This window comes from Homo sapiens, chromosome 3 (assembly GCF_000001405.40).
Source record: "Homo sapiens chromosome 3, GRCh38.p14 Primary Assembly".
Classification (NCBI taxonomy): Eukaryota; Metazoa; Chordata; class Mammalia; order Primates; family Hominidae; genus Homo; species Homo sapiens.
The window spans coordinates 62208416-62231171 of record NC_000003.12 but is presented as its reverse complement, the minus strand read 5'-3'; the positions used below and the strand labels follow the sequence as shown (position 1 = coordinate 62231171).

Here is a 22756-nt window from a genome sequence, read left to right as displayed (position 1 = left end):
GGCCACCAAGAGTTGCATACAAATGCCCTCCCCTCCCATCTAACACAGACAGACCCCGTCATCAGGCCTCATCTGTGACATTTTCAAAAGAGGATGCTTATGCACAAAGGAGCTTATGAGGAGCTTTTATGCTGAGGTAAGAAATACCCAGTGGGAACTTTACTCTTTTAAGTCATCTTTACATATTCGCAGCCTCTATTACCCCGGTGTTAATGGAAGGTTAGGATATCACAAACACAGTGATGACCCTTGTCATTCATATACCCACTCTTCCACCTTTGACACACTGCCCTGGCAAACAGAATGGCTTAAAATATCATTGGAGTAAAGTGAACTTGGAGATCATTTGGTCCTCCCTTCTGCCACAAATGTCTCTGAATTTGGTGCCATTAGACACATTTCGGGTTTTGTCTTTTACCCCATGCTTTCCTCTCATCTCAGAACAAACATTTTCTTAATTCACAATACAGATTGGAGAATAAATAGGAGAGGCACCTCAGGGAGATGGGAACAGCAGTTGGCAAGTTATTACTATATATTAAGTCCTATATTTAGTTTCTCCTTAAAACTTAAATAACTGTAGCATCTGAGACTTGGCTACAGAATTTGAAAGATGCACTTCTGTCACACAAGAACACTTGAAAGTATTTATTTAATTATATTTAGTCTCCCAAACCAGCTGGGCTATAGGATTTCACACTGAAATGATTCCTATTCTTTCCAAACTCTGTTGATAAAATAGCAATGACAAACTCAGATATATGGAAGTTCTCTTTTTTTGGAAGTTCTGTTGAGTCCCACAAAGAATTCTGAAGCCAGGTATGTAATTCCAAAGGAGTTAACATTTTGTTAACTATTGAGTCCGCTGGTGGTTTTTCACTTCTAGGAATGAACATCCTCTAATTCTGGAGTGTTAGGTTTTCTTCACCCTTAATACAAGCTTTCAATGATTGTATTAATTATTAGACTCCATATTGGGTAAAAGTGCTTGGCACAGGAACCAAAACTTGGAGAAGTCAAACTTGGAAATACGATTAAAAGGGGGGAGGGATTGCTGTAACACAGAACTTCTTGTCTCCCTCTATTGAGTACATCCTGGAACTACAACAACTGTCCTACAAACATCATGGATATACTCAGTGTGGCTATGAACATTAATCTGAAGAAATCATGAGTGTGTTGGAATGTTTTTACAAATTCTCATAAAAACTTGAAATTTGCAGCTTCCTAAAATATTTAGACTTTTTCTCAACCCTTAGCCCTACTCTGAATTCTGCCAGATTCACTCTTTCAGGAATTTTGGAGCAGAGCCGGCTATCTCCGCAGTTTTTCCTCACACACAATCACAGGCGCTTAAAACTACCACCCGTAAACTGACAACACTTTTGCTGAGAAGCAAATGCCACACAATCAATAACTAATATCTTGAATAATTGAGATATTTGAGGCTACCTGAGCAAACCAGCAGAACAGACATAATTAACCCCGGGGGGAGAAGACAGTTAATTCTGAGAAATCCAAAGAAAGATGGTTGTTACCTAGAATAGACTGAACATACAAGGAGCTTCCCTTTCCTGAAAAGTAAGCTTGGTTTAAAAATTTACCCACCCACCGCTTCCCTAACAGAATCAGTCCAGCTTTTTAAGTATCATGGAGCATGTTTAACTGGCAACCTTTAGCAGTGAATCTCTTTCCGCTTTTGTCTAATGACTATGTGTTAGCTTGTTCCAAGAGCTTCCACTGGCATCTCAGGGCCAATTCGACAGCAGGGGGCCGGTTACTATAACAACTGACAGCTCTCGTGAATTCTGAAAGGCCCCTGAGTAGCCATTTGGGAAACAGTTATTGAGCAAAAAGTTGCCTGGGATCCACAGCATTAGCTGCCATGTGACCCAGATCTCCCAGCACAGGCACATAGAGAAAGAAAAAAAGGGGTGACCACCTCCAGGAACAGTTTGGGGACCTCAAAAGACTCCCTACCCCCATCTCTTTTAGCATCTCAGAGCAAGATAGTTTAACACCAGGGTGTCGTCATAAACTCAAACCCTCTGAGGCAAGCCATATTTTGGCACCACAAAATGTGCTTGAGCTCTCCCCAATGGCTTGACACATTGTCAGGCTTTGAAAAGCTGAACTGTAAAAATTATTCCTAATGATTAAAAAAAAGTCTTGAAATATGGCCACAGATATGGGTTCCAAAAAGAAAAGAATGGCACACTCACCAGTTTTAAAAGAAAAAAATGATGCCAGAATACCTGTGGTCCAGTAAATGGTCTGTTGGTAGAAAAGATGGTGATCACACAAACCCACCAAAAATAATGACTTGGAAGCTCAGAGTTTTCCAAACTAGACAAAGTTTTATATAAACCTACCTTTTGATTCTCACTCTCCCTCAGCATAAGAGGACATTGAGCAACCAGGACTGACCCAGTGCCTTTGTACTTTGTACATGTAGAATCTTCCAGAAAAGAATCTGATTCTACCCGTTAACAGTGGACTTTGCTTTGCATAAAGGAAGGGCAGTTTGGCAGAGTTTGCCCTAAGAAATAATGAATGTGCCATGATCCAGTGCTTCTGGGTCATCTCCTACACAGCGACCTCTGCCTGGAGCACTTGTCCTTTTTCTTTTTCTTTTTTCTTTCTTTCTTTTTTTTTTTTGAGATGGAGTTTTGCTCTGTTGCCCAGGCTGGAGTGCAATGGCGTGATCTCCACCTACTGCATCCTCTGATTTTAAGCAATTCTCTGCCTCAGCCTCCCAAGTAGCTGGGATTACAGGCACCCACCACCACATCCGGCTAATTGTTTTTGTATTTTTAGTAGACGGGGTTTCACCATTTTGGCCAGGCTGTTCTTGAACTCCTGACCTCGTGATCCACCTACCTTGACCTCCCAAAGTGCTGAGATGACAGGCATGAGCCACCGCGCCCAGCCTCCTTTTTCTTTGTTTTGTAAAAAATACAGTCCAAACATTCTCTCCTCCGAGAAATCCTTCTTGGCTCCCTCTCCTTCTCACCTAACCCTGGCTGTGGTCAGAGTCCTTCCCAGAACACACTATTTTCCTTGATCACTATTGCAACCCAGGGGAATGCAAAATCAACCACCCACAGGGGCCAAACAGGCAGGGAATAGCGGGGAGGGCAGAGACTGGCAAACTGGCAAGGGAGAGCCTCTCAAAAATGGGCCACCATAGCACCATCCAGCCACCAACGGACACAAGGGAATCTGAGAACACATTGCTAAATTGTCCGGTTTATCAGAAGAAGCCAGATAACTGGGGTTTTTCATCACATCTTTCTATTTTCTAAATAATTCAAGATTTTAAAAAAACATGTTAGCTAAATAAAATTGGTCTGGAGGCCACCAGTTTTTGACCTCTATTTGGGATTACCTTGGTTTACCTGCTCCTCTCTTCCTCTCAGGTATGAGCCCCTTAAATGCAGGAACTCTGTCCCCTCAATGGCTCTCCAGTGCCTGGAACTAACTAGATGCTTAAGAAATGTTGAATGAACTAACAAAGGAGTAACTAGGCCAGCCATAAAGGGCCTTAGGTCAACAAAAAACCCAAAACCCTAAGTCTGAGAAATTCTAAAACTTACAAGCTCTATGATCCTGGACAAGTCATTCCCCCTTCTGGAAACCGTTTCCTCTCTTGGGACAAGAATGATGCAGTCCCTGATTCCTTGCCTACCACACATGGCTGCTGGAGGATTAAATAACATAAGGTGTTCTTTGTATTAATTCAGCTATTATTGCTGGTTAACAGGGGTGTTTCCCCTTTCCTACGTCTTCACAGTTACCTGTATGTGAGAAGTCATTCTTATGATACCTGTCTCCTTTGTGACTTTGCTGGGGTGAAAAGGGGACAAACACCTATACCAAAAACCCAGTCATCGTCAAGTAGACCTGGAAGTGTCGGCCGCTAGAGCAGATGGGTGAAGAACATGTGCCTGGGCTCACAGCAGCTCTGGTGTCATTGTTGCTACTGTGGCAGTACAGGAGGGATCTGTGTTCCAGTGAGGCACATGTGGTCAGTCATCCCTCAAGCAAGAGAGGGGTGTTACCACATGCCACTCTCGACTCTCGCATGCATCTGTTTGTTTGCCTGAGCCTCCATTATGCCAACACAAATCCCCCACACATTTGCGGTTTGCATCCCTTCATATTTATTACACTCTGTCTCCCACTGAACATCCAGGGAAGAAAAAAAATTGCAATGTCAACAAAACTCACTTGTTTTCATGAACAGCATTCTTAATGAGGAGGCACCAACACATGGCAAAATTTCTGAAAATCTAAAGATGGGACTTAGAGTAAAAGAGAGACCTTTTCCTATTTGCATATGTGGCTAAATTGGTGTTGACTGATTTACCACAGAATTTACAGATGGCTTGGTCATGTGCTGAAGTGAATCTACCAGATCAGAGTGTGAAATCCTTCTCATACCAAATTTTAACAAACCTGGGTCAGATGTTACAATTCCCACTTAGGGAGTTTCCAGTTTTCTGTTCCAGAATCTGCAGTTAGCTCAGTCCTATCTGAATTTGAGAAGTAAAGCTGCTCTATACTTTTGCAAGTCTTTTTCTAGGCTAGAATTATGGTCAATAAGATATTAAACATTTAATATCAAGAAAACTAGCACTGATCAGCTGGGACTAAGACCAAATAGGTTATATTATTCAACATAAAAATCTTCTCAAATAATGGAGATGTAACTGAGTGAGTACCACTAGTTAGCTTCCAGAACACCTGAAAATATAATTGGTTTCTTAAGTTTTCTTTCACATGATTTTGGCAAATCCAAAACAAAGGATGATTTATATCTGGCCTTCCAAACCAGTTTACTCCCACCATGTCCAGCAGCAGAGACATCCCCTTTTCCTGGAGTGTCTTTTTGACACATAAACATGCACTATAAAAGTAGGCTATGGAGGGAAGTATATGCCACCAGGCATGCTACTCCTCCTCTGGACAAGATAACGTATTGGCTAACCCAGTGGGCTATGAAGTCAAATTGTCTGGGTTCAAATCCACAATCCACCAAAAATTAACGCTGCGACTTGGGGATGTCACATGATCTTACTAAGCCTCTGTTTTCTGATCTGCAAAATGAACATAACAATACTGATTATTTCCCAGGATTCGTATACTAATTAGGTGGGGGTATAATCTGCTGAGCACATGTCTAGTATGGTACATAGTCATAAAAGGTTCTTTGCTTGGCCAGGCGTGGTGGCTGACACCTGTAATCCCAGCACTTTGGGAGACAGAGGCGGGTGGATCACCTGAGGTCAGGAGTTTGAGACTAGCCTGGCCAACATGGCAAAATCCGTCTCTACCAAAAATACAAAAATTAGCTGGGCGTGGTGGTGGGTGCCTGTAATCCCTGCTATGCGAGAGGCTGAGGCAGGAGAATTGCTTGAACCCAGGAGGTGGAGGTGCAGTGAGCCGAGATCACACCATTGCACTACAGCCTCGGTGACAAAAGTGAAACTCCATCTCAAAAAAAAAAAAAAAGGTTTTTTGCTTAAGAACCTTTAGATATACAAAGCCTTTTCAGATATACAAAGCCATTTCAGGGGTGAGATATTGCTCATCAGAGCAATAAGAACTACCTTCTATGCAACATCCCTCAGGATTACAGAAAAAAAAAAAACAAAACTAAAAATATCTTTGTAATACAATTCTAAGCAGACAGAAATGTCTGGCTCTTAATAGCTATGCTATTCTACAGCACAACTAATAAGTTGCACCCCCTAGCACACTGATTGGACACCGGGCACATAGCTCCTCTCCCATAGCTCCTCTCCCAGCATTAACCTCAAATTATGTAAATCAAAAAGAAACCTTCCAAAATTTTCCTCTTCTCTCTGAGTGGCAGCAGCTGTGCTGCTCCAAGTCTTTTCAGGAATGTCAGCACATTATTGCCATAAAAACAGCTTGTCTTGGTAAGGCAGGGGATGCGAAGCTCTTGGAATGCAGTATCTGACTGTTGGAATTCAAAAGGTATGTTTTACTACCATCTTAAGTAAAAAGACCAAAATGGCACACTGTGAAAACTTTTGAATTGATTTTTTCCCCTTATTTCCAATAGCTCTGAACCACTGCATGCTTGTATGGATTGCAATATTTATAAGGCACACAATAGGGTGCCATTAAAGCTGTAACTGTTAGTTGATTTTATTTTTATTATCTGCCTCACAACCCTGCCCCTTGTCCAAAATCACTTTGCTTACATTTCTTCCTAGTTTTATAGCAACTTCTGTGTTTTTACAGATTCTGGTTCCTACAGCTCTTCAAGGCAGACCTTTGCGAGGGACATTCAAGGGAGAACTATAGTGTCCTACCTGAAACAGCTCAGCTAAAAACATTTTAGAATAAATGTCTCCCCACAGATCCATGTTGCTGCCTATAAAAACACTGCTCAAATAGTCCCCGATGAGACTGATGTCTGAGGTCTCTCAGACATACAGGTATCCGAGGTTTCTGCTCATGGTTTTTAGTTTCAGCCAAATTTTAAGTACAGACTAATGATTGGTCTCCAAAGTTCTCCCTTTCAGGAAACATATACATAATTCAATGATACCAATGGGTTTAAATATTTAAGAATACTGTGGCAGTGCTTAACAAATACCCACGTGTTCCCCCTACCTCATCTGTGTCCTTGGGGCTGTGTGACCATCTGTGGCCAGTGGTGAATGAAGGAGTGAAGGGTTCCACTTCTAGGCCAAGCAGTTGAGAGCTTGGTGCCTCCTCAACTTCTCTATCCCTGCTACACCAGTTTGGGAGATATGTGTTCCAGAAAGAGAAACCACTGGTGGAGGAGGGCGGCTCAACCCTGTCAGACCTCACGTGGGTGGGAAATAAACCTTTGTGTGTTATTAAGCCACTGGGGTTCTAGGGTGTGTCTGCTGCAACATCAATGAAGCTTACTCTAATACAGCCAACCTGGAATTAATGAGGCTGGCCACTGGGCTTCAGAGTTGTTTCCTGGGGTTGCGGGTGGGAGTGGGGTCATGTCTTTAACCCAGTTATTTAGGGATGTCCTCCTCTGGAATTGACTTTAAGGCCTATTAGGAGCATCACCCAAACCAATTTCATTAACATTATAGTCACCCCTTTCCTTTTTTGGCCCAAAGTGGTTCTGCTCAGTTGGTTAACCTACATTTATGCTATATTTAGCTCTAAACAGATGAGTTTTATCTATTTCTAGGATAAATACTTTGCACAACTGAGATCCTTCAAAAGAATGAACTCTAGAAAGAAATTCCAAAAGTTATTTTCAAGCATGTTGTATGCAATGGACATATTGGAAACTCTGTACAGCTATACAATGTGATGACATTTAAAGGACAAAATTCATTTAGCTCTGTACATTTGATTTTCCTTATTAAAAAAAAACTTCATTTGAGGCATACCAGGACCCAGAGTTACATTTTCCATTTTTCCCTAAAGTCAGATCTGGTATAACACTACCTCACATTCACCATGTGCCAGGCACCAGGACAAGCATTTTCCATAGCTTGCACCGAATCCTCACGTGAACTTGTGGCCCATTTCTTAACTATATTTTGCAGATGAGGAAACCGAAGTTGGTGGAGAAGTCTTTGTCTAAAGCAGTGTTTCTCAACCTGTTTTTCATTGGCACCTCCTCTGAGGGGCCCTTTTAGACTCCGCCCCCCCAATTGCCCAGTGCCAATTTTAATACCACGAATGCACAATGCTATTTATGTATATGTAAATCTGTGCTTTATACACAAAATAAGTTTATAAAAATCTCCCCAAAACAAATTCACACCTTAGAGATGACAGCACTGCTGGTAGGAACACATGCTCCACAGCTGCACAGATAAACAGTGTGGTGGAGTGTGGCTCCAAATCCAGGCTATGTGACTATAGGCCCGTGTTACAGTCTCTAGACACAGTAGTGTTTCTTTCTGATCTTGCCCTCCTGCAGTTTTGGCTCCTTCAATACCTTCCCATCATCCTCAGGATATGGCACATCTCCCTTCGATGAGGCCCTCATGATCCGGCCCTTGCTGTCCCCACACTCTGCTCCAACAACACTGAGCCACATTATCTGCTTGCAGTAGGCCAGGCTTTTTCTCCCCAGCCTCATTCTTCCACACCCTCTTCACCTGGCTGACAGCTGGTTGTGGTTCAAGGCCCAGGTCCTCCAGGGAGCTTTCCCTGACCCCAACCCCTATTCCAGGTTGGGCTGAAGCCCTTCCTATATGCTGTTATAGCAACTTGGATTTATCCTTCTCCAAATACTCCCCATACTCAATTCTATTTACTCATCTGCCTCTTCCAATGGACTGTGAGGGCCAAGGGACCTGATCTCTAAATCTCTAGGCCCACCAGGATGCATGGCAGGAACTCTGTAAGCATTGCATAAATAATAGGAAGCTGAAAATGGCTCCAGTGCACATGCAATAGAAACAGCTTTATAATTTTTTAAGTAACAGAATACTTAGCTGAACCTTCTACTCACTTTTTTAGGTCTTGATGGTCCTTTGGAAAGCCATCCCTTGTTCGGCTTCAGTCCAAGGTTTTGATGGCAATGGTACTGATCCTACTTCTGAGCTCCAGAGTTAAATATAAGACCTAGGCCTGACAAGAATGTTCCATCCTTTTGGCCACCAGACGACTCCGGGGTATGGACAAATGACAGAAGTCAGTAATAAGAGATGCCATGTTGGGACTTAAGTGGAACTATTAGAGAAGAAAGATTCCCTTTGCACTGGGGTGGAGACATGTAAGTCTAACATGGCCAGAGGCTGCTCTGTACAAACAGGCAGAGGGCCTGCTTGAGCGAGAAGACCACACAGACAGCAAATCCCAGAAACTGACGGCAAGAGAAACACAGACAGACCAAACCAGCCAAGTCCTGATGTTCCATCTTACAAATTCAGCCAGGCCCAATGCTCCTGAACTTCTCAATTCCATGAATCAAACTTTTTTTTTTCCCCTTGAGCTTTAAGGCATTTTGAAATGGATTTTTGTCAACTGCAATAGAAAAGGGTTCTGAACAACAAAAGGGTTCTGGTGATGATATTGCCAACTATTTGGCCCATAGCAGGCTTTCAACAAATGTGAGTTCTCGTTCTCTTCCTTGGTCAAAGAATGTGGGTCAAATAGAAAGGACAGTGATAGTACCTACCGTACAGATCTGTTGTGAGAATCACATGAGTTGGTGCCACCCAAGTGCTTGGCACAGTGCCTGGCACTCAAAAGGACTCACTGAACATTAGCACTAACACCACTGTACAGCGGGAGACTTGGAAGAGACAGAATTCAGAGACCTTGAGTGTAGTTTTCCACTATTTCATGAACCTATTAAGTTGTAGTATCAACAACTTGGAGAAAACACACTCAAAAATCAGAATAACTGCAAAGGGCCATTCCTTGGTTGTGGTAGAAAATGCTGCCACAGTGAGCAGGTTTGAACCCCCCGGTGCCAGGCCTGCCTCCTGAAGAAATGATCCAGAAGGTTTTGATCTGCCTCAATGCTCTACTTATGTCAAGTCTGTTTGCCAATCATCCAGTCTTACTGTGCCTCAAAAGGCAGAAGAAAAGCACTGTTGTTCTAGCTAAAAAACTGCATTGCCAAAGGGAAACGCATGTCTCCTCTGTATTTACCAATTTTCTATGTGAGCTCCCCAATGCTTTCTTCTTTCGCATTAATAATAATTTTTTAAAAGTTGGACAGAAAAAAGGTCCTTGTCCCCTCTAGGCTGTATGCTTAGCCAACTCATTCATCCTAACACTAATTTAATTTTACTTTCCTTGCTCTATAAGAATTTTCTTTTTCACACTCATTTTTTGTGCTACTGGGAGTAGGAATTTGGTAAAAGCTCAAGTCCAGACTCTGTTGGATGAAGTTTAAAGCTCTGGTTACTTTAAATGAAGCTTTTGATGAAATATATGCATACATGTATAATAAACATCATAAAAATATTTCAGACAGGAAATATTAAGATATTATTCAATTCATATTTTCCATTTGGACTCACTGAGATTTTCAGAAGTATAAACAGTTGTCATTTTCTAAAGGGAAAATACATCTTGAATGGAAGGATTTTAAAGCTGTTTACTACATGACACAGCCCTTCCCTATAAGAAACCTGTAGTAAATACTCATGTTTTGGCTGGCTGGGTATTGATGCCTGTTTGGCCCCATGGTCCTTCTTGGTCACTGTGATCCATTTAGGGGTGGGTAGAGGATCCAAGGTGGGCCAGTCAGAAACAATCTGGAGGGTTTTGCCAGAATTGCTGGGTACAAAGTGTTTCTTTATGCTGTGGCAGCTGTGGGACTTCTCTGCTCCCCTGTGGTGACAGTCTGAGACTAAAACCAAACAGTGCTGAGCAGAGCCAAGAGATAGGCATGCTGACCTTGTTAACCTCACTTGATTAGTTAAACTCACACTAGGTGGCCTCCAGTTTACCAATGGGCTTCAAACATATTTGCACAATACTTTTTCCTGGAGAAGGGATGACATGAAGGTGAGTCTAGTGTTCCTATGCTCACCCCAAAATACAACATACTTCATAAACTTGCTGGTCTGCAGCACTAAAGGGCTTATGGTTACCGTCAGACGCCCGAGGAAACCTGAGATGACCTCCTTCCTTATTCTTCTGTTCCAGCCAATTAGGAACAGACCCAATCTGCCAGCAGATTCTGTTGCTCCCACCTTCAAAATAGATCTATACACAATGAATTCTCACCACCTACACGGCTACCCTCATCTGAGACACAATCGTGTCCTTCTTGAACTAGTCCAGTAGTCTCCCCGATGGTCTCTGTTTCTGCCCCTGCTCCTCTTCAGTCTGTATTCAACACAGCAGCCAAGTAATCTTCAAGTCAAATCATAACATTCTTCTGTACCAAACCCTACTCATCTTCGAGTGAAAGGCAGTGCATTAACAATGGCCCACAAGGCTGTGCAGCATGACCCGATCCTGCTCTACCTTGTTTCTTTCTGATACCCTTTTCTGCCACCTTACCCCTGTCTTCACGTCTCAGCCCCACTGACCTCTGGCTGTTCCTGGTGCACACCAGGCATGCCCTTGCCTCAGGGCCGTTGCATGTGCTGTTTCCTCTACTTGGAACTTGCCCCAGGTGGAGCCCATTTGGTTCCCTCCTCCTTTAGGTCTTTGCTCAGGTATCATCTCCTTGACCACTCTGAACACTCCTGCTAGGCCCCCATGGGCCCCTCCCCTTTCCAGATTTAAGCTTTCTCCATTATCCAGTTACCACCATCTTAGAAATTACATGTTTTACTTATTTGCTTTGTTTATTGCCTGCCTCCTCCACTAAACTGTAAGCTCCATGACAGTAAGGATTCTTATCTGTTTTACTCACTTCTTCAGAAATCATTTGTGTCTAGAAGACTGGCACAAAGTGTGGGCTCAAAATTGAGTGAATGGAAAGAAGGGAGGGAGAGATGAAAATATGACACCTGTTTCTCACTGGTGAAGCCTGTCAGATAAAGGGCAGAAGCCTCCTACGTTAGTCTGAGAGGTGAGGGCACCCAGGCCAAACGAGTGGGCTTGACGGAGTTGCTCAGCTGAGCTGGCTGAGACGGTCCGGCTGAAAAAACACAACTTCTAAACAGAGGCTGCAACCTGGCTTCCCATGAGAAGCAGTGAGAATCCGGATAGCTTACAATCTGCCATTTTAATCTTACATATATTAAATACCACATAATATGCTAAATGTTTTCCTATCACCCAATTTAATTTTCAGTGAAAGACTATGAAAAAAAATTCTAAGGTAAAGAGGAGTTATTATGTGACTACAACAAAGTAAGCATCATCTCAGAAAAACTGCAAATGCTATGACTTGTTAACTCATTTTGCTGGTTCTGAAACTAACAATCAAAGTGGACACGGGATTTGGATCTAGCAAGTAGCAGAGCTTGGATCTGAACTTGGATCTCCCTGGTTCTCAAACAAAAACCTCTTTGGTACTAAATCCCAGAAGCTTACCATAAATGCCTTGACCTCAAAAGTGGATCTGGCCCTGCCATCATCTAACAGAGACAAGATGGCCTTCCGGGTGGCAAGACCAGAAACACTTAAGCTACCTCACCTTCCTGAATGCAGAGGCCGTGGGATTCCCCTCCCGTGAGCAAAACCTGGCCAGCATCTGGCCCCCAAATCTACGCTGTAGGTGCTGCCTGGCTTACCTCCAGTAAACGAGCACAGCAATGAGAAGGATGAGGCACACGAAGGTCAAGGCTGATACCACAATCAGAGGGATGATCCACTCCATCCTCCCTGGAGCAGGGCGGCTTATCATTCCAGAGGTGTTTTTTTCCGCTGCCAAGAGAAATCATCCCAGTTAGAGGACAGAGGTTAGTGGAGGTGGGAGCCAGAATTGATGCAGAGTTCTGTTCCAGTTTTGTGTGGTTTCTGGCGAACTGGGCCATTTGCTCTGAGCTGCCCCATGACAGGAGGGGCAATCCGCAGCCCTCACCATTTCCTGCCCCATCCCAACCCACACAGGGCCTCTTCTATGGGCTGCATTCTGTAATTGGCAGTTATATGGATTTACAGATACAGTTGAAGGTGTTTTTAGACAGCTGTACAGAAGACATAGACATTCCAGCCTTACCCCAAGAACATGACCGACCCAGAAGAGCCTTTGAATGTGCTGAGGACATGTGCTGAAGTCTCAAAGAAGCAAGGGTGGAATGGCTGTCCAAGAGCCTCTCAGGTTCTCTAGGGCAAGGGCAAGAGGGCTGGCATGATGGGTTTCACTAGGATAACTAGGAGAACTGGCTGTGACTACGATGGCCATCTATTCTTTGCTGCTCAGCATCCCTTACTCTTTCCTGTAGTAACAACTACACCCCAATTCTGCTTTGGGAAACCACCTTTCCCTAACAGACACAGTCATGGTGGGACAATCATCGGAGTGTGGGGCTCCCTGCTCTGGTCAACGATTTAGCACTCAAGCCAGGACAATGACATCTTGCCCTAGAATCTCAACCACCGACTCTAAGACTGAGCAACAGCACATCCCAGCAGGAGCACCTAGGTGCTTCTGTCCGTGGGCTCCTACCACCCAGATCCCCAGAGATCCTGTTTTTCCTAAAATATGCTTCTCCAGTTTGTCCTTTGATCCTATCACCTACCCCAGATCCTTCCAAAAGCTCCTATTTTCTTTCCCAAGACAGGAAGCCATACCACACCCTATTCCCAGAGCACGTCTGTAACCAGCAGCCACAATCTAAAGGTTAGCAGGGAAAGCTTGCCAAATAGTTTAGGATTCTCTCTGGTCGGCCAATACCTGTTAACCAGGCAGCTCCTTCCTCCACCTCTCCAGGCCCTGAATGTCTTCAGAAGTCCCCAGGAGCCTCAGCAGAAGATCCTATCTTCCCTTCCACTGTGAAGAAGATGCCCGGAACATGCCAGGTGGCCCAAATGAAGCCCTGGTTGGGGTGCTGGGGCTGGGAAGAGCACAGGTGCACAGAGGCAAGCAGTGAAAAAGCAAAGGTTGCCTGTGATCACAGGGAGAAGCCCCTTAAAAAAATCTAACATTGGCTGCAGGCTGACTTGAGCCCAGCAAGGATTCCTCCTGCACTGCAAAAACGAGGCCAGCGTTCAGCCAGCCCGGAGTGTCCCTCTGCAGGATGGACTAAATGCAGAGCTAATCAGGTTGAGTTTCCAGGTGAGAGAAGGTAGGCTGAGTAGGGAAGAAAGAATTGGCTATGGGAGCAGATTTTTAAAGAGGCAAGACTCCCGAGTCAGGAAGAAGTGTGTTACGATGCGTTTCACTGGATTTCCTCTAATGCATTTGATGTTGACCACCTCCTTTGTTTCAGGCACAGGCCTGTGACGCAGACAGGACCTGATGTATCCCCTGCTCACAGGTAAGAAGACAGAGTCAAGTAGGTGCAGCACACTCTGATTAAAAACCTCCACAGAGCACTTTGCCATTTATAAAGTGCCTTCCTAGCTGTGCCTGCCCATTTTCCTAACTCCCTGCTCCATTTTTTCATTAGATAGGAGAGATTCTTACCAAGCCCCTACTGTGCACAGGCCTGGTGCGAGGGGATGGGGACACATCAGTACATCAGATAGTAGCACTGCTGTACCCATGGGGAGGAATCTTTTAAATGGGGAGAGGCAGGCACAACAACAATTAATTAGAATGCAATGAATGTGGCACCAGGGGAAGCACAGGGGGCCATAGGGGAATAGCTCTCCAAGCCCAGGTCTCCATGAGCTCCCCAACGAAGGCAAGTGTTGAAGGATGAAGGGGAGTTAGCCAAACAGAGAGTTGGGGAAGAAGGGTGTTCTGCACGGAGACCATCAAATCAGTGGGAGTTCAAGAATGAGAGGGAGGAGGACCCAGATGGGGAATTGGAAGGCAGATGAAGCCAGGGCCTTTTAGGCTGAAATAAAGAAACTGAATTTAGTCGTAAGAGCAGTAGAAACTACTGCAGGGTTTTAAGCCAAAGCAGACAAAGATCAGGCATGCCTTCTCTCCATCAACATAATGCTTTTATAGCAGAGCTCTGGTGGCTGGCCAGAGGAACCAGAGTTGCAAATAAGAATAATTTTGTGGGGTCCCAGAAGGGGGTGGCCCAGCCAGGCAATTATCTGGCTGGTGGGGGAGGGGGGGGAATCTCAAAGACCTGGATGTCCTGTTAATGGAAAACAATGTTGGGAGGGTTGACGCTATAGGCCACATGTTCAGTTAAAATCAGTATCCACTCTGTGAAGCCCTTGGGTACAGGAGGGACTCTCAGTGTCTTATTCCTCTCCTCACTCCTTACAGAACAGGATTCTTGCCTGTGCTGCTACAAAGAATGCAAACTCCATGTCCTATTCATCCCGAACCACAGAAAGGAACTCTTGGCCAAAATAGTCCCTCACACTTATATCCCTAAACAATCACTGGCAATACCACCTCTGTGGTATTTCTATCATTTTTTTTTTTTTTCTTTTTTGAAACAGGGTCTCACTCTGTCACCCAGGCTGGAGTGCATGATCTCGGCTCACTGCAACCTCCGCCTCCCACGCTCAAGCGATCCTCCCACCTTAGCCCTCCAAGTACCTGGAATTACAGGTGTGTGCCACCACGCCTGGCCAATTTTCATATTTTTAGTAGAGACGAGGTTTCACCATGTTGCTCAGGCTGCCCTCAAACTCCTGACCTCAAGTGATCCTCCCGCCTCGGCCTCCCAAAGTGCTGGGATTACAGGCGTGAGCCACCGCGCCCAGCATATTTCAGCCATTCTAAAACCAGTGAAAAGTGACCACTCCAGAATTTCTCGGCCTTGGGAAGGGGTTAGGGAGTGACCATCTGGTTGTGTGGATCAGTGGCACATTATATCGTCCCTCAAGCCACAGGGGCATCTCTGTGTTGGTGATAATGTCTGTCCCCCTCTCCTCCTCTACAGGGTGAGTGTTCAGTTTTCATTAGATTCTCAGAGAGGTTCAGGCCCCAGAAAAAGTGAGAACCACCAGCATAGAGAGAGAATGAAGGTCCTGAAGACAAGGCTCTTGAGTCACAGCCCAGGTCAGAGCTGGGCTCAAACTTGATTTCCACAATGGAGTCATTTCTCCCTCTAACATTTGGTGAAAGTGTGTAATAATTGGCGGGGGGGGGGGGTTCCCGTAGGGGGTTGGAGCCTATCTGAAATCCCACTGTGGACAGTCTCCAAATGGTAATTTCTGTGGAGGAGCTCTCAGGTTGGCAATAACTTGTAGTGTCAGTGAGAGACCTAAGGAAGTTTTTCTGACAAGTTTCACTCTGACCTTGACTAATGGCAGGCAGTTTCATTGGCTTGGGTCTTTTACATAAAAGCCAAGCAAAAATAAGAGCGACTGAATTTTCATGTGGGGCATGATAAAGTTGATTTCATTTTCAAATTCACAATACTGCTTTGTCTTCCTGGTGCCAGGAACCTGGAATTGGATTCCATCTCCAGGTGACCAAGTCAAATCTGCTCCTGTCACTTTCCTAAGTAGCTCCTCATAGCCCTCAGGATACCCCTGAGTGGGGAAAGCAAGGCTCTTCAGGAGCAGAGCCTTCCATCCCCAACCCAGCATCATCTCCTGCTGTTCCCTGTCACGGTTCCAGCCACACTCACCTAATCAGTGACCATGCTGAGCCATGGTCCCGCCTCTCTGCCTTTGCCCCTCCCATTCCTACTGCAGGGAGTGCCTTTCCTTTCCTGATGCCAGAATTCATCTTATTGATCCTTCAGTCCTGGTTCAAATGCTGCCTTCTCTGTGAGGCTTCCCGAAGCCGCCAGTTTGTACTATCTCTTAAGGGCAGAGCAGAGATTATAGGTTCAAATCCTGGCTTGGCCATTTTCTGTGTGACTTTTAACCAATAACTTAAACCAGTTTGGGCCTGGAGTTCTTCATCTATCAAATGGGATGAAAAGAGCCTACTTCATAGGACTGTTGGGGAATTCAATGAGAAGGTGCATGTAAGCACCTAGAAGTGTGCCTGGCATCAAGCAAATGACAAGTACCACCACCACTATCATCATCTTGTGTTGCTCTTACTGCACACATCATACTCAATTATAATCGCTCTTTTGTTACTCTAGGTCCCCAAAGGCAGGGCTGATTTCCGTCTGTGTATGGAAGAACAGTTACAAAGCTCTGCCTCCTACTAGCTTTGCAACTTTGGGCAACTAACCTAACCTCGTTGTGCCTCAGTCTCCTCCTCTGTAAATGGAAGTAATAATATTGCATACGGCATTGTGGTGGGATGAAGATTAAATGAGTTAATGCATACAAAACACTTAGAATGTTGCCTGGCACCTGGTTAATGTTAACTATTGTGATTATTGTCATCACCACCACCCCAGCTTCGGCAACACCATCACCCGCCACCATCCTAGCAACAGCATCATTACTTATCATCACCACCACTCTCTTCCTCAGCACCCTCACACAGCAGCAGGAGATGGTGAGCACTCACCGGGTGTTTGCTGAATCTGACTCCTCTCTGTAACATCTGAGTGTGTAAGTGGCAGTCATACAGAACTTCAGATGTGCTGAGTATCAGCACAAAGGGCTGCCTATGATGAGATTGCTGGTAAAGAGCTAGAATCTCAGTTTGCCCTGAGACTAGACTGTATCATACTGCTTTTTCCCTCTTTTTTTTGGTAGAGACACTTTCTTGATATGTTGCCCAGGCTGGTCTCGAACTTCTGGGCTCAAGGGATCCTCCTGCCTCAGCCCCCACTCAAAGTGCTGGGATTATAGGTGTGAGCCACTGTGCACGGCCCCCGTACTTCTTGCTGTGTCCTTCAGAAGAAATACCCGTCCTGCTCCCTGACTCAATTTGTGGCCCTAATAAAACAGCAAGCTGCTAGGACTACTACAACACACAAAATGTGGCCCTGAGTATACACCCATATCATTATATGCCCTCAGACACCGACAATCCATGAGGCTAAACTTCCCCATGCCTAGGCCTCCAGAGACCAGAACATGCTGTAGGCCTTTCGGTACAACAGCTGCAGCGTGCCACAAGATGGGCAATTCTGCACCCCAGACTCAGGCAGACCTGAGTACAAATTTTGACTTAGGCCTTTCCAGCTGTGTGGCTTTGGGTAAATGCCCATCTCTGAGTGTCTGTTCACTCCTGTATCAAAGGGAGACAAATGGTAACACTCACCTCTCGGGGAGTCCTGAGGATGAAAAAAGATCGTCCGTGTGAAAACAGACTATGTAAGTTATGGCTATGTAACTTATAGGACCAAATGCAAAATGAAATCATGGGGCCCATTCGAAAGTTATAAAAGAGTTTTGAGAAGGTGACAGTAGAGTATGAGACAGTATGAAAGCAAGCATAGGCCCTTCTGAGCACAGGGCCTGTGTGAGTGCACAGGCTGCCTGCTTATGAAGCTGCTCTGGATCAGTCAGGTACCAAGCACAGTGCCTGACACAGAGGAGGTGCCCAAGAAATGTTCATTCTTTTCTTTCCTTCAATGGAGCCAAACAACAATTCTGACAGTTTAGTAACACTAGATGCTCCCCTCTGTCAGGAGCAGCACACTTTCACTCGGAGCTTTGCTGGTAACCTAGCTGCCTCCTGAAGGGTCCAGCAGAACTGAGCTGCCCAGTTACTGGGGGTTTGCTTCCCTCCATGATGCCCAAATTGTGACACCAAGATAAGGACAGGACCTCTGGGTTAACAGAGCTCCTCCTCACCTCCATCTCTGGTTCATCCAGATGATGTAGTTTTCCCAGCAGGACTAGCCCTTCAATTCCTGCCTGACTTGGGTTATGAACTGGCAACCCTGGTTTGACACCCCTTCCAAGTAGTTATTTTTTAATTGTGACATAGCTACCAACATTTAATAAGCAAAGGAATTCAGATAAAAATCAGCAATGGTAGCTTCCACTAGAAATGTTCAAGGTTGGCAACAAAAGCCTGAATTCCCACGTGGCACACATCAGTTGGAACCAAGCGGCACACTCCCTTCAGACAGGGTGCGTCTCACTGGTTTGCCACAGTCGTCACTACTCCCTAATGTCACACCAGACCAGCTTTCCTCACTCCCAACTCCCACTGCAAGCTCACTCTGGCCAGCCTGGTTTCAGTTTGCAAGATGGCACTCTGACCCAATGAGTCTGCAGAACAACACTAACTCGGGTCTTTTGAAAAGGCCTCAAAAACGAAAGTAAAAATCATGGTTTAATAAACTCACCATGATCCTGATACCAATAACCTGGCTCAAGAGAAGAGGCTCTTTCTGTACAAAGCAGCTTTCTCCAATTCTGTTTATTTTTGAAGAGATTTTATTTTTAGGCCAATTAGAAACTAACCATGCTGTTGCTCTGCCCATATAACATAGTCCATTCTCCTCAGCACATTTGGATCTGTGTGTAGAAAAGATGACAATGAGGAAAGGAGTATCAACTGATACCCAGTACTCCCCCAGTGGATGTAATGTGCAGGTGAACAGCTACTCAGAGGGTGATGTGAGGCCAGTTAGAGCCCAGACTCAAAGAATGAGCCTGCTCCTGAAATGTCTTCCCCATGAAACTTGGAGCAAAATGCTAACGAACCCTCTCTGAGCGTATGCAGGAGGAAGGTAAGGTTAACAACCTCCCCACAGCCGTTCTTTCTCTCCGTACAGCCTTTCTTTCTCTCCGTCTTTATTTCAGCACCCAGCAGAATCTGAGTAAAGTGCCTCCATTCTGCTTTTTAAAAAAAAATTAAAAAAAAAAAAGAAAAGAAAAACAGTTTTCAGTGGCATATGTCATCACTGAATTAATGCTGTTTGCCTTTTACTGGCTTGGCTCTCATCCCAGTAGAAGCAAATAAAAACGGAGTACAATGTACTATAAATGCTACCGGCAGCAATACATCAGATGGACCCATCTGAAATGCCTCCTACCCTCCAGGAAGGGCTCAACTTCTGCTACAGGACAAGAACCGCTCTGGTGTCAAGACTAAAACTAGCTTGGATCCAAGAGGCCTCTATCAGGAGTAGGGAAGAGCAAGATTCTTTAATTTGCAAGGAAGATAAAGAGAAGGACGATATGCATACTTATAAATTTATAGCCTGTTTCCATCGTGGGGAATTTCAACATATTTGTTCTGAGCCATACCACTCATTAAAAACCTCCCACATCTGTGAATTAAGGTGGCTGCTTTAAAAAAAAATAGTGGAAAAACACATAACACAAAATTTACCATCTTAACCATTTCTAAGTGTCCCATTCAGTGATGTTTAGTTATTCACATTGTTGTGCAACTGATGCGCAACTGATCTCCAGAACTTTTTCATCTTGCAAAACAGAAACTCTATATCCATTAAACAACTCCCCATTTCCCCTTTCATCAGCCTCTGGCAACCACCATTCTACTTTGTTTCTTTGAGTTTGACTATGCTAGATATAGGTGGAATCATGTATTACTTGTCTTTTTGTGACTGGCTCATTGCACTTAGCATAATGTCCTCAGGGTTCATCCATGTTGTAGCATGTGAGAGGATTTCGTTCCTTTTACAGGCTAAACAGTTATTTCATTGTATGTACTATATGCCACATTTTGTTTATCCATTCACTCATTGATGAACACTTGGGTTGCTTCCACCTCTTGGCTATTGTCAATAATGTTGCCATGAACATGGGTCTACAAATACCTCTTTGAGATCCTGCTTTCAATCCTTTGGGCATACAGTTAACCCACCAACAACATAGGCATTAGGGGTGCTAATCCCTGAATAGTCAGAAATTCATGTATAACTTTTGAGTCTCCAAAAGCTTTCCTGCTAATAGCCTACTGATGACCGGAAGCCTCACCAATAACATAAATAGTTAACACATATTTGTATATTATTTGTATTATATGCTATATTCTTACAATAAAGTAAGCTAGAAAAAAATGTTATAAAGAAAATCCTAAGGAAGAAAACATATTTATATTTACTATTCATTAAGTGGAAGTGGGTCATCATAAAGGTCTTCATTCTCATCATCTTTCAGTAGGTTGATGAGGGGAGAATGAAAAGGGGTTGGTCTTGCTCTCTCAGGGGTAGCAGAGACAGAAGAAAACTCGTGTATAAGTGGATATAAGCAGTTCAAGACTGTTTTTCAAGGGTCAAGTGTATACCCAGAAGTAGAACTGCTAAATCATATGGTAATTCTGGTTTCACTTTTTTAAGGAACTACCATACTATTTTCCACAGGGGCTGCACATTTTACATTCCCACTAGCAGTGCACAAAGGGTTCCCTTCTTTCCACATTTCTGCCAACATTTATTTTCTATATTTTTGATAGAAGCCATTCTAACGGGTGTGAAATGATAAGGTGGCTGCTGTTTTTACAGGGCCACAAAACTGGCCTTTTATTTTTCTGGAGCCCTGACGTTACCCAAACCACTGCTGCAGAGAAATGATTGTTCATCAGTTACAAATAAATATGTTCTCTTGCAACAGGACACTGGCTCTGTGTTAACTCGTGTGGGCAGGATTAGAGCATCATTCGTTTCCATTTATATCACTGCCAAGAGTTCCTGTGAATAAGTGCTCCCTTACCATTTCATGCAGAGCTTAATTCACCAGACTCAAACAATCAAAATGATGGTCTGTCATCTCTATTTCAATTAGGTGGTGGGAAAGTGGGGAGGCATTTGATAAATCCTAATTTAATTCCAAGCCCCTAAAAGACGGCAAGCCCTAACCTATCAGACGGCCACCACTGACAGTTGGTTGCAATAGTACGTGGTTCTGAAATCAGTCACGGACAGAAGTTGTACACCAATCTTATACCAAATATGCCACCTGCTGCAACCTGAATTCTTGACTCCAACCTCTCCGGAAATCTAATTGTTCTTAGTGGGGTCTGGTTTTCCATACCATGAGATTTACCATGTGTCTTAATTCAAAGATCGTTCAGTGGGCAATAGAAACTCCAAGGACCCAGATACTTTCTGAGAAGAAACTAAACCATACTGGCAGCTGAATAACCCCTTCGGCCTACCCTGAGCTTGTTCCCACGGACATGCCAGGAAGATGACAGACCAGGACGGGGGTGGGCAGAATTATAAAGAAAACATTTCTCTAGAAAGAAACCTGACGAGCAAAACTAGCACTGGCTGAAAAGTACTTCTGATAGTCCTTACAAGTGCCTGATGTAACTAATTTTAAATAAAGCATGCTGCAGTGCTCCCAATCCCTAGACAGCTGGGTACTGCATTCATGATTTCTGCCCGATCTGCATGAACCTGTACTGGTACTTATTTTTGTCTTTAAATTACTACTCTATTTGTCCTCAAGTAAACTTCTTCAATAAGGAAACTTTACATGAATACTATAAATCAGGGGTTCTCGGCCTTGGCATTAATGACATTTTGACCAGATGGTTCCTGTTGTGGAGCTGTCCTGTGCGCCATATGACGTTTAGCAACAGGCCTGGCCTCTACCCACGAGACACCAAGTAGCACCCCAGTGCCAGTTATGACAACTAAAAATGTCTCCAGATGCTCCCAAATGTTCCTAGGGAGAAGGACAGAATTCCCTCTGGTTGAGAACCACTGTCACCAATGGAAAGTTAGTCTCTTTTTAAAAGCACACATTAAAATATTCACTTAATTAATACTGCATCTGAAATCATCTGGCATTGCTCATTCTGGGAACTGGCGCCAAAGCCAGCATCACATGGGGAAGATCCCCCTGGACTATAGAGTCAGAGCCCATATTTGGGCTCTGTCTTGCCATGGGCCGTGTGGCTCTGGGCACGTTCCTTCATCTGAGCCTCGCTTCCCTCACCAGCATGACAGCAACAAAGTACGACATTCATGGGAGTACTCTAGGATCAGTGACATATGCAGCTGGCCTTCTGCATAGGCAGGGCTAGCACAAATGTTCACTGGTGACGCTGTTATTATTTCTGTAATTAAAGGTGTTCACGTTGAGTTCCTTAGTGCTTAAGAGTTCCAAAGAGGCGCCTCATGGTTTGCCCAAAGGAGCAGAGTGGCTGCAGCTTTGCACCCTCCACTCTGTCTCAAAGCAGAATAGCAGCCCAGAGCCTCTGCCCAATTGTGTTCATTCTTAGCTCATGGGCCATGCAAATGCAGGCCAGGGGATGGAAGTGGCCTGCGGGCTGTGGTATGCCGACCCCTGAAGTGGAATGTCCCCTTAGCACCTGACTCAGGGCTGAGCCAGAAGATGCAGTCAGTAAACCTTCAGCAATGAGTGTTCACATACTGAGTTTCTGAGCAAGATTCAACCTGAAAAAAGAGTTTCCCTAATTTAAGGAAACAAA

General features: G+C 44.4%; 1 protein-coding gene and 1 long non-coding RNA gene across 8 annotated transcripts in view; one reads left to right on the top strand and one right to left on the bottom strand.

Moving 5' to 3' along the window:
* PTPRG (protein tyrosine phosphatase receptor type G) overlaps positions 1-22756 on the bottom strand; it is a 736039-nt gene that overhangs the window by 66438 nt on the left and 646845 nt on the right. For all 7 annotated transcript variants that reach the window (XM_017006961.2, XM_017006963.2, NM_002841.4 and 4 more), the window contains one exon: positions 12189-12321. In XM_017006961.2, the coding sequence (XP_016862450.1) occupies positions 12189-12321 (133 nt within the window). The remainder of the gene's footprint in view (positions 1-12188; positions 12322-22756) is intronic.
* Positions 52-20930, top strand: LOC124909389 (uncharacterized). Its single transcript, XR_007095941.1, has 2 exons — positions 52-136; positions 8500-20930. It is a non-coding gene; the product is annotated as an uncharacterized LOC124909389 (long non-coding RNA).